At 38.8% G+C, this 17,552-nt stretch overlaps 2 protein-coding genes across 10 annotated transcripts in view, besides 1 other annotated feature; one reads left to right on the top strand and one right to left on the bottom strand.

Annotated features, from left to right (window-relative positions):
• The window catches only part of OLR1 (oxidized low density lipoprotein receptor 1), a 17,966-nt gene continuing 414 nt past the window's right edge, over positions 1–17,552 (bottom strand). The window contains exons 1-7 of one of the 6 annotated variants that reach the window (XM_047428909.1): positions 13,702–13,832; positions 12,018–12,696; positions 10,774–10,875; positions 8,412–8,657; positions 2,486–2,625; positions 2,047–2,162; positions 1–1,721 (exon numbers count right to left, since the gene is read on the bottom strand). In XM_047428909.1, coding sequence (XP_047284865.1) covers positions 1,580–1,721; positions 2,047–2,162; positions 2,486–2,625; positions 8,412–8,657; positions 10,774–10,792 — 663 coding nt within the window. In that variant the 5' untranslated portion in view covers positions 10,793–10,875; positions 12,018–12,696; positions 13,702–13,832 and the 3' untranslated portion in view covers positions 1–1,579. Of the gene's footprint in view, positions 1,722–2,046; positions 2,216–2,485; positions 2,626–8,411; positions 8,658–10,773; positions 10,876–12,017; positions 12,697–13,701; positions 13,833–17,552 lie in introns of those variants that run through there. The other 5 variants (XM_047428907.1, NM_002543.4, NM_001172632.2 and 2 more) reach the window with 5 other exon arrangements.
• Positions 9,417–9,617: a silencer, noted in NCBI's record as "peak1568 fragment used in MPRA reporter construct". NCBI's record gives its function as "represses an SCP1 promoter by STARR-seq MPRAs in K562 erythroleukemia cells {active_cell/tissue: K562}" and the evidence as "EXISTENCE:reporter gene assay evidence [ECO:0000049][PMID:32103011]".
• Positions 12,213–17,552, top strand: part of TMEM52B (transmembrane protein 52B) — a 21,292-nt gene continuing 15,952 nt past the window's right edge. For 2 of the 4 annotated variants that reach the window (NM_001079815.2, NM_001384898.1), the window contains exon 1: positions 12,213–12,551. The gene's annotated coding sequence lies outside the window, so the exon portion shown is untranslated. Of the gene's footprint in view, positions 12,552–13,957; positions 14,117–16,981; positions 17,198–17,552 lie in introns of those variants that run through there. The other 2 variants (NM_001384894.1, NM_001384895.1) reach the window with 2 other exon arrangements.

Consider the following 17,552-nt stretch of genomic DNA (forward strand, 5'->3'; position numbering starts at 1 on the left):
TTGTACACAAATGTTCACAGCAGCTTTATTTGTAATATCCCAAAACTAAAACAACCCAAATGTCATCAACAAGTAAATGGGTAAATGAATTGTGGTATATCCATACAAGGGAATATTCAACATTTAAAAGAATGAATTCATACGAGCATCAAGATGGAGACATATGAATCTCAAAATAATTATGCAAAGTGAAAGAAGCCAGACAAAAAAAAAAGACATACTATATGATTCCATTCACATAAAACTACAAAATGCAAAATGAAAGCCGATTGGTGGTTTTCTGGGGAGGAGTCATCAGGAGGAGCATTGTGACACTTTGAGGGATGATGGATATGTTCACTCTCTTAATTGTAGTATGCATGTTCTCCACAAGGTGTGAAAACTTATCAAATAGTACACTTTAAATATGTTCAGTTTATTTTATGTTAATTATATCTCAATAAAGCTTTTAACAAAAGCAAACATCTCTTGCCTACATAAGGATGACACAGCTCTTAAAAAAAAAAAAAGATTCCTGCTAGATTGTGTGCAGCAAAATAAAAAGGCTTCCTTTAAAGTAGAATAGCCTGTGAAGAGTGGGTGGAAAGGAAATAGAAGCCTAAAAATAGAAGATATATTTCTAATTCCATCTGTTTCTATTCAGCGATATTTGCATACCTGGCTTAGTTTGTTCTAGATTGAGTGTCTTCATTTTTTTTGTCTTGTATGTTTCGGAATTATAGCATAGCAAAACAGAGTTGAGAAGAGTTCATCTACAAAAGGTATGTTCTTTAGGGAAAGAAATTCTATTCTTACCTCTGGGCCACACATCCCATGATTCTAACAAGAACTGTTGTGAAGGGTTAAATCTATTAATCTGTCCTCTGGTAGAAAAAAAAATGAAGAAATAATAACTGATTCAGGAAGTGGTAACAGGTTGTGGATTAGCTTACAGAAAAGACCACTCACTTACTAATTACTTTCTTGGGCTCCCCACTTGTCCCAAAATGTGTGTGTGTGTGTGTGTGTGTGTCTGTCTGTCTGTCTGTCCGTAAGTGGTAGAGTCTGGAGATGGACCACAGTTTAAAAACCAAGGATTGATACCTTTTTTAAAGTTAAGAACATGAGTTTCTTGATTTCGGAATGGCCTCTGTCCTTCTTTGTTTCTTCACGTGCACTTTTTCCCAGACATATTTCCCCTTTTTGCTCTCTGCCTGCACTTGAGCAAGTTCTCCATGTTCTGTCTTTCATGCAATTTTAGGAGTGTGAGGGGAAGGTGATAATGAGGTAAAGAAGACTGAGTTCAGAGGGTTTTCAAGCTTGAAGAGGAGTCAAATTTTAAAATAAAAAGGGGAAAATGGACTTCAGGCTGGCAGGGAAGCTTGGGACAAGCTAGGTGAAATAATACAGGTAGCTAGAATCAAAAATGTTGACATAAAGGTGCCAGGCTCCTGGAACCCCAGTTTCTGCAAAGGAGTTCTGCAGCCAGCTAAATGACAGTTTTCTGGGCTCTCATGTTTGGCACCCAAGTGACAAAGAATAGCTTAAATTCCAGAATAAAACTCAAAGACTTTTTTCTTTTCTTCCAGAGCCTTCAAATTCACTGTGCTCTTAGGTTTGCCTTCTTCTGACATATACTGAAGGCAGCTAAAATGCAGTTTTCCGCATAAACAGCTCCTCGTTGTATATATGCACAGGTACCTGAAGGGTATGTCTGGGAGACAGCGCCTCGGACTCTAAATCTGCAGGTAGGAAAAAACAAAACAAACCAACAAAAAAACTTAGGTTTACTGCCACCTTGTTTCAGAAACTTAGCTTTTGAAACTTTTTGTCTTAAAGCCTCCAATCAGTAATAAATGTGGGAAGGAAAACTCAAGAAAATGTCTGAATGGTTAATGAGTAAATCTTTTTGTGAAAGAGGTAAGGAAGGAGACTTTGAGAAATTCCCCCAAGCTTCTCTCTGGCAAGAAGAGGACATTGGTGGGATGCAGGCAGTGACCTCACTAGCAGGTTCAGCAAAGAATAGGAAACTGACGAGAGAGGCATCAAAAAGAATGGGAAACTTACAAGTGGGGCATCAAAGGAGAACCGTCCTCCCAGAGCCATGGGTAGCTGGGGTTCCTCCGAGACAGCCCCATCCAGAATGGAAAACTGGAATAGGAAATTGCTTGCTGGATGAAGTCCTGTGGGGAGTAATGTTTCTGAGTTTGTGGAATCCACATGGTGGTTTTAGAATCTGAAAGTCAGTTAGTGTTGGATCCACAAAACTAAAGAACCAAAAGGTATCTTTGACATCCCCTTGACTGTTTTACGGAAACACTTACTGAAGGCTAGAGATACTACAGAGCCTGTCCGTCCAAGGTCATACACAAAATTGGTGATCAGACTAAGCTAAAAAAACAGACATTTTGGCTCTCAAACAAGAATTCCTCCAGTGACAGTTTAAACCAGATTAATTTCCCTATCAACCAATACTCCACCCCAACAAATATCCATGAACACTCACCAGATCAGCTGTGCTATTAATTTTCAGCAACTTGGCATCCAAAGACAAGCACTTCTCTTGGCTCTTTTCCCAGTTAAATGAGCCCGAGGAAAATAGGTAACAGTTTTCTCCATGCCAGATCCAGTCTTGCGGACAAGGAGCTGGGAAGGATAGTATATCTCATCAGTCAGTTATGTTTGTGTAAAAGCAGTACTGCAGTTCTTAAATCAATGATCCCCTTAGTTCTCTCACGTGCATACTATTTATTTTTGTTTTTGTTTTTGTTTTTGTATTTTTAGTAGAGATGGGGTTTCACCATGTAGGCCAAGCCTCCCAAAGTAGTGGGACTATAGTCGTGAGACACCGCGCCCTGCCCACACTACTTCTTAAGTAAAATTTTACCCAGGTTCTGCAAATACCTAAATAGCCTCAGAGTCCTTATTTCTTCATTTTTTGGGAAAAAAAAGAAAGAAAGAAAGCATACTGATTTTAGCAACCTAAATGTACTTCTCATTTAGCATTTTCACTTCCCCTGATGAAAAGCAAGTTAAGCTAGCATGTAATTTTAGAAACTGATCTATTTTTTAAAGTTGTGTTGGAAATAAAGAAAGTGAGGGTTGGGAGAACAGATATTTAATAGCCATTCTGCTATTTTTAAAAAGTAATGCTATGCATTTTAAAATTTCATATCTTTGAATAATGAATCTAGGCTTAAATACTATGTGTCTTGCTTTCAGACATGTGTTGTCTAATACAGTAGCCATATGTGATTCTTGAGTACTAGAAATATAGCTAGTTTGCATTTCTTAAAACAAATTATTTTAATTGAAACAGGGTCTCGCTATGTTGTCCAGGCTGGTCTTGAACTCCTGGCCTCAAGCAATCCTCCTGCCTCAGCCTCCCAAAGTGCTGGAGTTACAGGCATGACCCACCACACCCGGCTAGTTTGCATTAAGATGTACTATAAGTGTAAAACACACAAAAGATTTTGAAAACTTAATTTGAAAAAGAAAAAGAATGTAAAATAGTCCATTAAAAATTTTTATACTGATTAGTATTGAAATAATATTTCAAATATCTTGGGTTAAATAAAATGTGTTTCTAAAATTAATTTTATCTGCTTCTTTTTCATTTTTATGTGGTTACTAGAAATTTTAATGATATATATATATATATATATAAAAAACACATACTATATTTCTTTTGTACAGAGTTGTTCTAGGGAAAATAGTATATTAATATAAAGCGAGGATCTCAATTTAAACGAGATTTTAGAAAATAAGGAGATTTTCAGTAGCAAAATTCACAGGGAGTCCACCAAACCAAAAACAGGACTTAGACAATAGGCAAAATATACCAATGTCTACATGTTTATGGATGCTTTCAGGAACCCTCAAATCATCACTATCATCACCATCATCATCATCATCTCTCCCATCTCCTTAAGGGGAAACAAAGTACTCTGGTCTACACTACAACCAAAAGGTGAAAAATTAAAATCTTTGAGAAAGGCAGCATTTTAATTTCATTCTCACTGTGGCATAAAACCACTAAATAAATGTATAAGAGTAGGCTTTATCAGAGAGGAGAAAATAGGAGGGACTGAAAAACAGAAAAAAGTGAATGAGAAAGAGCATACAAAACACTAAGTTGATTTTTCACCAAACTGATGCTTATGAAAAGAAAAAGAGACCAAGTTGAAAGCAGTCAATGCAAGCTTCTTACTTCTTAGTTTGCCTAACCCCATCATATTATGTAAATATAAATATATGTACGTTTTTGGCTGGGGGTGGTGGCTCATGCCTATAATCCCACCACTTTGGGAGGCTGAGGTGGGTGGATCGCTTGAGGCCAGGAGTTCCAGACCAGCCTGTGCAACATGGCGAAACCCCATTTCTACAAAAAACACAAAAATTCACTGGGTGTGGTGGTGTGCGCCTGTAGTCTCAGCTACTTAGGAGACTGAGGTGGAAGGATCACTTGAACCTAGGAGGTGGAGGTTGCAGTGAGCTGAGATCATGCCACTGCACTCTAACCTGGATGACAGAGGAAGACTCTGTCTCAAAAAATATATTTAGATGTATATAAGTTTTTTGTGGACTAAAAAGACAGTCTGGGCAAGTTTTCCCAGTTATGACAAAGTAAGAAGGACACATTACAAAATGTAGTATTTAAACTTACTGTATTTCTTTGTGTGTGTGTGTGTGTGTGTACACAAAAATAAACAGAGTAAGTGATATTTGTGTTTGTTAAATTATATAACAATACAAATATCACTTACTATGTTTATTTTTTATATAATTTAACAAACACAAATATCACTCACTATGTGCCAGAAACTGTTGGAAGTACTGTACAGGTATTAACTCATTTAATCCTCACAGTATCTCTGTGAGATAGGTTCCAGTCATTTTCTTCATTTGACAAATAGAGAAGAATCTGGACCTAGATAATGTAACTCTAGAGTCTGGGTGTTTCACCACTATAACATACTACCTTTCAAACTTCTAAGTTAAAACCATTTGAGGAAGTGTTTCTCGGTGCTGCTCTCGAGACATTTTGATACAGAATCTTGAGGTAAATCTGTAATCTGCCACTTTTAACAATCTATTTACATACAGTAAAGTTTGAGAATCACCACAAATTCCATTGCTAAATGTGAAGTCTATTCCTGCAAAGGCCCTGCATCTCACTAGCTCGTTGGCCTAAAGCAAACATATAATAACCTCTCAGCATCTCTCCCTCCTCATATATACATTGAAGACCACAGACTTTTTAGTAAAAAAGATAAAACTTGCCTCAAACTGGAAAAACTTGGCTTTTTTTTTTTTTCTGTATGTGGTATTTTAGTATTACTTTTTAAAGACTTCTCAAAGCTCTTTGGTGGGCCGGGCCTGGTGGCTCACACCTGTAATCCTAGCACTTTAGGAGGCCAAGGTGGGTGGATCACGAGATCAGGGGTTCGAGACCAGCCTGACCAACATGGTGAAACCCCGTCTCTACTAAAAATACAAAAATTAGCTGGGCGTGGTGGCAGGCGCCTGTAATCCCAGCTACTCAGGAGGCTGAGGCAGGAGAATTGCTTGACTCCGGGAGGCGGAGGTTGCAGTGAGCCTAGATCGCACCACTGCACTCTAGCCTGGGTGACAGAGCGAGACTCCGTCTCAAAAAAAAAAAAATGCTCTTTGATGAAAGGCAAAACTTTATTTGCTATCTCTACTAATTAGCCTTTATCTGACACTGTCAAGGAATGGAACATGTTACTTGGTATATCTGCCAGCATCAGACATATCACTTATTGTTTTTTATTAGTTGTTCATCCAGGGCATCTCTGGGAGATAGTTCTGAATGGTCCTGATGTAGATTTAATCCCATACAACTGATAAAGACAAAATTCTCTTCTGGCCTTGCCTGTGATATAAACCATTGGTTAGTACGTGGTTATGTCCGCTTTTATAAACATTCCTATCCTTAATAGATAAACTTTCTCCCTTTAAGCCTTCTTGAAGGTGGTATATTCATTTCCTTGCAAGCTCCAACTTTAAAGAGATTAAAAATGTTTGACACTTGCTAAAAATTATTTTGTTCAAAAATTTCTGCTAATTTTGAAAATGTAAATGACCTCTAAATAGTGAAGGGATTTACAAACTGCAAAACCTTACACAAAATTACTTTTTATTATCATTTCACTTTATCCGGGTCTCAGTGTTCCACCTATCAAGGAAAAGCTTAGGTATCTGTGAACTATTATTATATGCTCTTTATTCAAATAAATTATGTGGTTGAGATTAAGTAAATTGTGCAAGCAAGAAGCTAGAGAGATCTCTGTTTATTAGAGGAAGTTTTTCTCTAATCCTGACAATAGGGCACTAATTTACGCACCTCCAAGGAAACAAAGTACCTCTGAATGACTCTCTCTCACACCTTTTAACTCTCCCTATGCCTAAAACCATATACCTGATGTAATGACATACTGCAGAAAGACCAAATAATACAGTAGCTTCTGTAACAATATCAGAGTTCACATCATAGTCTTCTTATAGATGCTACTATTTCTGCCTGCCTCTGGATTCTGAGTCCCTTTAGACGGCTAAAATTAACTCATTTCTTCTTATATAAATAGACTTCTTGGACTCCTCATATTTTTGTCTAATCTGAAGTATCTGCGTAAGGCTTGCAAGCCAGTCTACCTCCATTGGCTCTATTTAAATTGATGGGCCCGGCACAGTGGCTCACACCTGTAATCCCAGCACTTTGGGAGGCCGAGGCGGGCGGATCACCCGAGGTCAGGAGTTCAAAACCAGCCTGGCCAACTTGGTGAAACACCATCTCTACTAAAAATACAAAAATTAGCCAGGTGTGGTGGCGGGTGCCTCTAATCCCAACTATTCGGGAGGCTGAGGCAGGAGAATCCCTCGAACCCGGGAGGCGGAAGTTGCAGTGAGCCGAGAATGTGCCACTGCCCTCCAGCCTGGGGGACAGAGCGAGACTCCCTCTCAAAAAAAAAAAAAGAAAATTGGCCGGGCGTGGTGGTGGGTGCCTGTAATCCCAGCTACTTGGGAGTCTGAGACATGAGAATTGCTTGAACCCTGGAGGCGGAGGTGGCAGTGAGCCGAGATCAGGCCACTGCATTCCAGCCTGGGCGACAGAGCGAGACTCCATCTCCAAAAATTGAAATCAAATAAAATAAGTTGATGTAGTACACTTTAAGAAATAATGCCACAGAGTGAGCTAATGTAGAGTTAGGGGTAGACAGTTGCAAGGACAAAAAGATCCCTTAGAAAAAGAAATACAGTGATTAAAATGCATTGGAATGGAAAGAGATAAGGATCTATGGAATGGGGTGGGGGTGGCAGAATTCTTCAAGAAAAATGTCAAAACTGCTACTAGGGAGGCTGAGGCAAGAGAATCACTTGAACCCAGGAGGTGGAGGTTGCAGTGAGCTGAGATCACACCACTGCATTCCAGCCTGGGTGTGACACAGCGAGACTGTCTCAAAAAATAAAAAAAAAGAAAGAAAAATCTCAAAACTAAAATTTTAAAAAGAAGAGGCTCTTATAAAGAAGGAAAACTTAAATCCACCAAAAGGTATGCTTAATTAAATCAGATTTTTCAAGGATTTGACACAGCATAGGGTGGTTCTGATTAAAAATTTAGAACTTCTTGCCGGGTGCGGTGGCTCACACCTGTAATCCCAGCACTTTGGGAGGCTGAGGCAGGCGGATGACTTGAGGTGAGGAGTTTGAGACCAGCCTGTTCAATATGGCAAAACCCTGTCTCTACTAAAAGTACAAAAATTAGTTGGGCATGGTGGCTCATGTTTGTAATCCCAAGCACTTTGGGAGGCTGAGGCAGGAGAACTGCTTGAACCCAAGAAGCAGAAGCTTATTGAACTGAGATCACACCACTGCTTTCCAGCCTGGGTGACAGAGCAAGACTCCGTCTAAAATTAAAAAATAATAATAAAATAAATAAAAAATTGACCGAGAGCGGTGGCTCATGCCTGTAATCCTAGCACTTTGGGAGGCCAAGATGGGTGGATCACCTGAGGTCAGGAGTTCGCGACCAGCCTAGCCAACATGGTGAAACCCTGTCTCTACTGAAAATACAAAAATTAGCTGGGCGTGGTGATGGGAGCCTGTAGTCCCAACGACTTGGGAGGCTGAGGCAAGAGAATCACTTGAACCCAGGGGGTGGAGGTTGCAGTGAGCAGAGATCACACCACTTCACTCCAGCCTGGGCAAAAGAGCGAAACTCCATCTAAAAAAAAAAAAGAAAAAGAAAGAAAAAGAAAAAGAAATTGAGAACTTCTTGTATAGAACATTATGAATGAATAATGATATGCATAACAATAGACCAATTTTGAGCCCAGAATTGTTTCCAAAAAATAGTTATGATTGGACAGAAAGCTTCCACTATGTCTCCTTACCCACCCTTCTCCCAATACCTGAACAATTTGCTACTCTCTTCAGTGTTTCTTGGAGATTCAGATTCTGGTGGTGAAGTTCCATTTGCTCTTTGGATTTCTCATTCAGCTTCCGAGCAAGGGTTTCTATCATTTCCTTGAGTTCGTTTTCTGACTCCTGTGAAGCTTCTTCTGCTTGTTGCCGGGCTGAGATCTGTCCCTCCAGTTTCTTTTTCTGGTGAGTTAGGTTTGCTTGCTCTTGTGTTAGGAGGTCAGACACCTGGGATACTGAATCACAGTTGCATTAAGACTCTAGTTCTAATCCAAATAAAAATCCCTCCAGGGACTTTTTGAGGAAATCAAAACAGAATTAAATCTATTTTGACAATAGATAAGCTGCTGAAAAATGACCCAGATTTACTCAGAAGTTACAGATTTGGAGGTTCTTGAATATTCCTGCAGTATTTTGTTTAATGTCAGGAACATTGCAAACACTTGTAATTTTTTTAAAAATTACCAAGATTTTGGCCAGGCACGGTGGCTCAGGTCTGTAATCCCAGCACTTTGGGAGGCCGAGGCAGGCAGATCACGAGGTCAAGAGATAGAGACCATCCTGGCCAACATGGTGAAACCCCATCTCTACTAAAAATACCAAAGAAATTAGCTGAGGGTGGTGGCACGCGCCTGTAGTCCCAACTACTCAGGAGGCTGAGGCAGGGGAATCACAGTGCCACTGCACTCCAGCCTGGCGACAGAGGGGGACTGTCTCAAAAAAAATAAAAAACAACAACAACAACAAAAAAAACCCAAGATTTTTTTTTATTGAGTTACAAATGAAAAGTAATCACAAGATAACCAGTACAGCATTAGAATAAATAAAATAAGGAAAACCTGAAACAGACACCCACCAGACTCAGTGACTATTAGTAGGAAATGTCATTAGCGATTTACTCTATTTATGTCTCAATTCCTCTGCTGTGTCTCCTCCCATTCTGTCTACTCTTCCAGACTTCCTAATTTTAAGAACTGTGACATACACCCCTTTTTTGAGACAGCCACGCACACTGTGTCACAAGAGTCTCCAAGAATTTTTTCTTTTCTTTTTTTTTTCCCCTTGGCCACGGTACATTTTAGGAAGGGTGAAGATAAAGTGAAGGTTGTGAAATCAAGCAGGCGATAACATGTTAAGGGTCAAATGTCTCAGTTCCTGAATTTTGATGGTGCAATACAAAGCAGACCGCTTGGTTTGAAGGCAGCTTTGATCCTGTTATAAGATGATCAAAGGCTCAAAAGATTTTTCTGGTCACCACCACTAAGTCAAGGGCACTTCTCCTTGTCACTAGGAAAGGCCCTAAGTATTTACAAATTTAAAATAAAATAGTTTGTGAGCTTGAACAACAGTTAGGAAGCAAATAGCACTTCAATGGCCATAATAACCTGGATCCTGGGTAGCCTAAACAACTCAGTTCTACAACCTAAATTCACAGGCAGTTCAGGTGAACGTTGGGCACCATTTTCTTTCCTTCTTGGCCACTCTGGGCCATCTTTTCACTTCTTTTTTTCCCTCAATATCTTCTCTTTTCTAAATGCTCTTATTATAAATGTGAAATATATTTTATTTTAAATGTTTTATTTATTAAGATTGTGTTTCTGGTTCTTAACATTAAAATGGTATTTAATTATCTCTATCAAAACTCAGCAAGCTAAATAAAATTTCTTTTACTTTTGGGCCTCTCAGATGATCTTGGATATTAGTAACTTTAAGTTATTATCTTCTCCATCATTCTAGAATTTAAATAGGCTCTATCCATGAGGTTGGTTTTTTGTTTGTTTGTTTTGTTTGAAATGGAGTCTCGCTCTGTTGCCCAGGCTGGAGTGCAATGGTGCAGTCTCAGCTCACTGCAAATTCCACCTCCCCGGTTCAAGCTATTCTCCTACCTCAGCCTCCTGAGTAGCTGGGATTACAAGCATGTGCCACCACACCCGGCTACTTTTTGTATTTTTAGTAGAGATGGGGTTTCACCATGTTGGCCAGGCTGGTCTTGAACTCCTGACCTCAGGTGGTCCACCCACCTTGGCCTCCCAAAGTGCTGGGATTACAGGTGTGAGCCACCGCACCCGGCCTATCCATGAAGTTATGAAAACAAAAGAAACAAAACAAAACAAAACAAACAAACAAAAAAATGCCTACCAATTGTAATTTTTATTTCATGGCTCTATCCATTGGAAGATGAACAATATACCCCTTTATTTTCATGGTCACTCTTAAAAACATTTTGCCTAAAATGAATCTATATCAAGGCTGTTTGTAGTTGTTATGAAAGAAACTTATAAACCATATTTATTAACCTCATTTCCAACACCCCTGCCCCAATAAACATCAGTTCCGTATTTTAGCACTTACATTGCATGCCCAGCACCATAATGGTCACTACTAATCCCAGGCAAAGGACCCCTAGAGTCGCAGCAGCCAGGCACCACCATGGAGAGTAAAGAAACTGAAGACCTAGAGTGACAGAGGATAGAATCAGAAAGACAAAAAAGAGTGAACAAGTAAGCAAACCATTCCTTGGAGCCTGTCTGTACTTGGTGATTTACTCTGTTTATGTTTTAGTAAATAGACATAAATAGTTTGCATTCCATACCACTAGTCCTCCAAATGGCTCTGCAAATAATTCATCATACACATTTAGGAATGGAAAACAGGGAGAGTTAAGGAATTTAAGTAATTTACCCATGGTCACACAGCCAGTAAATTCAGAGCCAGGATTCGATACCAGATATTTGAATCTAAATATATGATTCTAAAGCTTATACTTTATCTACTTTCCCGACAATTACTCCTCAAGAAACTCACAGTCTAGCTTGGTTGGATCAAATTCATCCACAGTGCAGAGAGCCTGAAGTTTTTAATATACACCACGTGTACACATGTGCACACAAAAGTAACATAAATATCAGACATCAAGCAAACAAGCTTTCTTCAGTTAATCAACTGAGATTACCTCAAATAACTTTATGAATAATTTTATGCTATTCAATTATGAGTCCACCAAAATTACAACCTGGAACTGGGGTTATTAATCAAAGAAAAGTAGGGATGAAACCTTGATATTAATTTAGCTTATATTAACAGCATATCCTACACTCACGCCAAGTGTAGGCTTGATTTTACAAGAGAAATATTCACCATTTTGAAAAAAAAATCACATAGCTCACAGGTGTATGAATATACAATTATGTGTTCCACCACTAAAAAAAAAAAAATCACAGATATTACTGGTTGTGTAGGAAAACATCCCATACAATGTATTTGGTTTCCTCACCTTGTGAGATAAACAAATAAGGTACTCCTATCATTATCCTCTGTATGCAAATAAGGAGACTGAAAGGTTTAGTGACTTGCTTAAGATCACACAGATGCTAAAACCCAAAAATAAGTCTTTAGTCTAATTGTCAGTAGCTACATGACTTGAAATATTATAATACAATTTCCAGTGTGAATGTATAATGATCCAGTCAAGCAGTGGTCAGATATATTCAAAGTTTTCATATGTCAAAGGTAGTGTGTTAGACTCCACAAATGATAAAAAGAAGATAGAAACTTGACAGGGATAAATATGGTTCATCTTCTGATTCAATACTTACTGGCTTCTAGAGTGTGTGTGGCAAGCTAGCAGAGAAGTTGTAGAAGATAGCTGTGTCTCTTGCAAATAATTGCCTAATTCTAGCCTCAGGGGCAAATACCTCTATGTAAATCTTTCAACTCTGTGGTCACTGTTCATTCCACATTGTAGGGCATCAGATACCCTCATCGTGCTCTTTTTTTTTTTTTTTTTTTTGAGGGGGAGCTTGCTCTTCGCCCAGGCTGGAGTGCCATGGCGCCATCTCAGGTCACTGCAACCTCCGCCTCCTGGGTTCGAGTGATTCTCCTGCCTCAGCCTCCTGAGCAGCTGGGATTGCAGCCGCGCACCACCACAGCAGGTTAAATTTTGTATTTTTAGTACAGATGAGGTTTCACCGTGCTGGTCTCGAACTCCTGACCTCATGATCCGCCCACCTCAGCCTCCCAAAGTGCTGGGATTACAGGCGTGAGCCACCGCGCCTGGCCTCATCACTCTTAAATAATGAAAAACTAAATTTTTAGAGGAAAAAGAAAATCACAGGACCCTGTGAAGGAAGGTATGTGTTCCCTTTTTCTATAGATTCTCTTTGTCCTGTGTCCTTGGTAGGCAGAGACCATTAATCCAACTGCTGCCCCTACTAGTGATTTTCCAATCATAAACCAATCCGATTCTTTGCAGTAGGTACCGATCTAACCAAGATTCTGAAAGAAAAATCAATCTCATGATTATTGTAAAATTCAGACCCTCAATATTTACTACACAAATAATGAATGAGTAAAGAAACGAATGACTATTGTTCACTTCTGGTTTTACCTATAAATATCAGCAGTTTTTATAGCAATTTAGTTCATTGGCTCAAATGTTAAATCACTCCATGCTCACACTTATGTTCTCTATTGAGAGAAATTTCTGTTTTGTTTTTGGAAATGTAATTTGGAATTTCTTTATCCAAATTTCTGACAATACTTGTCTCTCTTTCTCTCCTTATATTCTGTTCATTTTCCTCAGAACAGATATAGAATAAAAGGCAATTTACCCAGATTGTCTGTGGAATTGGGATTATGAATTAATTTATAGCTATGCAATTTAATTACTGTATGGGTCAAACAGAACTTACAATTTTTCAAAGCAGTAGTACACAACAAAATGTAACTTATGCTAAACTATACTGAATATCATTTACTTTGCCTGCATAATTCATGAGGTACTTCAGGTTTTTGTAGTGCCTGAAGGACTCTTACAGAAATTATCGTTATATACACCAGATAAATTTGGTTCCCGAGCCCTCCGATGTATAGAATTCTGGATAAATGGGAGTTTGTGGTACAGTCCTAGCTCTACCACTTATTAGCTCCGTGAAACTGGATGATGTTGTTAGTCCTCCTGATGCCCAGTTAGCTCTCTGTAAAAGGGAGATAGTAATAGTACCAATCTCAAAATGTTATTGCGAAGATTCTGAGAAATAATACTCTGAAAGTGAATAACATATAGAATAACCTGTAGTAAATACTCAGTATAAATTGTTATAAATAAGTTGTCATCATCATCATCATTATAGCCTTCTTGTTTTTCTTTTAAGTAAATGGTATTAATTCTATTTTCCCATACTTGGGTGTTTAGCTTTCTAATCCCATTCTTCGGTGAATTTACATTTTGGGGCTAACACTGGGATTCTTTCCCTGTACACATTTTCCCATCCCTAGTACCTTTAGCTTTTTTTCCATTTGACTTCTCATCAGGCTGGTCCTTCACAGTCTGGATCTTTAGGTCATCAAAAGTCATTTCCAAATTCAAGCTAAGAATGAGAGAGTGAAGCAGTCACGAACTTCAACAAACTAAAAATATGTGAGCTTCTGCAGAAGTATTTAAATAGCTACTGTTATCTAATAGAAGAATGACTCAATCATTGGTAGGAGGAAGGAGAGGCTTTGCTTCATATTGGGAAGTTCGCTGACGCAAATTCTTGAGTTATGTGTATTGCAGGTGGAGAAAGTGGTGATTCTGAAGGTGTTTCAGGATATTTCGCTAAGTAATTTATGAAAGGGAAAACTATTTTTCATGAGCATCAGAGGAGAGATATTGTACCCACTCTTCAGAGACAGAAACTGAAATTCAAAGAGAGTAAGTCACACTACATTTGTAAAAAATGTGCCAGAATTATGGGCCAAAATATTTGATTCCAATGTTTGTTTGCTAATTTCATTAGCAGACTGTTTCTATATGGTGTCTTTTACGAATCAGATATATTCTCTTTTGATTTTCACTGTTTTATCTGGCAATGGATCTAAGAATTTTGGGGTGAATCACATATGGCTCCCATTTCCAGCGATGGTGTGTCCTGGGTGATTTTAGAATTTATCTGGGGCTACTAGTTCATGCAGTGCCAGTGTAACGTAGCAGCAGAGAGCACTTTGAATGCAGAAAGAGCTAGTTTCAGTACTTTCCTTTAGTCTACAATCTTGGGAAATCTTAATACTTTGAATCTATGTCTTTGTCTGGAAATTAGGGATAATGTCTACCTGATAACATTGTTATAGGAATTCAAATGACATGTCTGGAAATTAGGGATAATGTCTACCTGATAACATTGTTATAGGAATTCAAATGACATGCTGGGTAAAAATAATAAGCTTTTTTACACTAGGTTTGTGAAAAATGTCACGTTGCTATAGGAATTCAAATGACACGCTGGTTAAAAATGACAAGCTTTGTACTTGGAGCATAATAAGAAGCCAATAAATAATAATTATTAGTATAGTACTAATATTCAGCACAGTTGAATTACCCATCAAATAATGTATTTCAGTAAAATCCATGATTGACTCATGTCACAAAGACGCTTACATGAGAGACCCATAAGTATGTCTATATGTATTTACTGATAGAATACTTTTCTATTTTCCCTTGACAACCTCCTAACCAGATATATATCTATTAGAGATGTCTTCTGAAGGAAGTATTTATAAGCAAAATGATATGATATCTGGCATTTACTTTAAATTACTCCAGGAAAAAAAAGTGCAAAGAAAAGAATACACAAAGGAAGAATGGAAAAATAAATACATAAATAAAACATATAGGAAACTATTAGGAAAAATTACCAATATTGACAGCCTAATTAGGATTCCATTTCCCTCCTCCTCCCTGTTTCCTATATTCCTTTTATTATGTGCAGAGTATTTGAGAACAAATTGAAAAAGTTGGCCAGGTGCAGTGGCTCATGCCTGTAATCTCAGCACTTTGGGAAGCTGAGGGGGGGGGTGGATCACTGAGGTCAGGAGTTCGAGACCAGCCTGGCCAACCTGTTGAAACCCTGTCACCACTAAAAATACAAAAGTTAGCTGGGCCTGGTTGCAAGCCTATAATCCCAGCTATTTGGGAGGTGGAAAATGAAAATGCTTTTCATTTTCAGTGAGCTGAGATTGTGCCACTGTACTCCAGCCTGGGCAACAGAGCGAGACTCCCTTTAAAAAAAAAAAAAAAAAAGAATTAAAAAATACTGAAACGATATCACACTGAAAAGGGCACATTATCATTTCTACAGTGACTCAGTTATTTTGGATGCCATGAATATTATAGAACATAAAGTGTTTACCATTTCAACCATTTTTAGGTGTACTGTTCAGTGGCATTAAGTACATTTACATTGTTGTGCAGCCATCACCACCATCCATCTCCAGAACTTTTCATCTTCCCCAACTGAAACTCTATACCCACCAAGCAATAACTCCTGTGATGGTGAATTTCATGTGTTTTGTTTGTTTGTTTGTTTGTTTGTTTTTGAGATGGAGTTTCACCCTTGTTACCCAGGGTGGATTGCAATGGCATGATCTCGGCTCACTGCAACCTCCGCCTCCTGGGTTCAAGCAATTCTCCTGCCTCAGCCTCCTGAGTAGCTGGGATTACAGGTGCCCGCCACCCCTCCCGGCTAATTGTTTTGTATTTTCAGTAGAGACAGGGTTTCACCATGTTGGCCAGGCTGGTCTTGAACTCCTGTCCTCAAGTGATCCGCCTGCCTCAGCCTCCCACAGTGCTGGGATTACAAGCGTGAGCCACCGTGCTGGCCTTCTGTGTCTTCTTGACTGGGTCATGGGGTTCCCAGACAGGATGCTTTTAAATGAGATTAACATATTAATCAGAAGAGGAAAGTAGATTTCGCTGCATAATGTAGGTGGGCCTCATCCAAAAGTTGAAGGCCTAAAGAACAAAAAGCTTCTAACCTTCCCCCAAATAAGAAAGAATCCCCCAGCTGTCTATGGACTGGAACTCAGCCATCAACTCTCCCAGTTCTCCACTCGCTGGCCGAGTCTGGCAGCCCACACTCCAGATTTTAAATTACCAGGCTCTATAATCATACAAGCCAATTCCTTATAATAAACCTATTTCTATGTATGTACACAGCGTATTGATCCTCTTTCTCTGCACAGACCTAATACAAATCCCAATTCCTTTCTCCTTTCTTGGAAACCACCGTTCCATTTTTTTGTTTCTATAAATTGGTTTATTTTAGGCACCTCATACTGGTGGAATCATATAATATTTGTCCTTTTGTATCTAAATTATTTTATTTAGCATTATGTCTTCAACAATTATCAATGTGGTAGCATGTGTCAGAATTTTGTTCCTTTTAAAGTCTGTATAATATTCCATTGTATGTATAAACCACATTCTACATTTTATTTATCCATTGATGGACGTTTGGGTTTATCCTGTTTTTAAAGATCAGTGGGATAGTTTCTACAGTCCTTGTGTGGCAGATAACTGGACAGATTTGAAAAATTTTAGAGGGCTCTCATTATTCCTGCCTCCTGGTGTTCATGATCTTGTGTAATCCTTCCCCTTGAGTGTGAGTGAGACCTATGACTTGGAGTGTAGCAGAGGTGCTGGAATGTATGTGATCATCTACGTGTGCTTATGTAAGGTATAGTGACTATTATGCTAAAGTCACTCTCCCTCTCCTATTTCCATCTTTATCTCCCTGTCTAGATTTTTAAAAGCAAGCTTAAATGGATCCTGCAGCCATAGAGAAATAAATTCTGCCTGAGGGAGCTTGCAAGTGAATCTTCCCAGGCTCACCTGAGAATGCATGATGAGAGTGCAACCCAGCAGCCACCTTGACTGCAGCCTTGTGAGACATCAAGCAGAGGACCCAACTAAGTTGTGCCCACACTTCTGACTCACAGATACTTTGAAATAATAAAAGTACATTGTTTTACCTTGCTGCTCACATAATTTGTGGTGATGTGTTACACAGCATATCAACCTAAAACATTCTATGATAAACTGAATCCTTCTGTCTTGTTTAACTTTTTTAACTCTAATCTTTTTACTGATTTCAGTGCCTTTGAAGCTGTCACTCAATCCCTATGCTGTGATCTTGGCTTATCAGACAGAAACACTTCCCAAGGGATCTCCCAAGGGTTGCAAAGATGAAACTTCTTCTGCTATATTATTTATTTTTGAAATCAGGGCTGTGGCCCTACCCACTGACTTATAGTTTGAGGTTGATGCCTCAGAGTCCTGGCCTCTATTTTATTGAGGCACAGAGAGGAAAGAA

The sequence above is a fragment of the Homo sapiens genome, chromosome 12, assembly GCF_000001405.40.
Source record: "Homo sapiens chromosome 12, GRCh38.p14 Primary Assembly".
In the NCBI taxonomy this organism is placed as follows: Eukaryota; Metazoa; Chordata; class Mammalia; order Primates; family Hominidae; genus Homo; species Homo sapiens.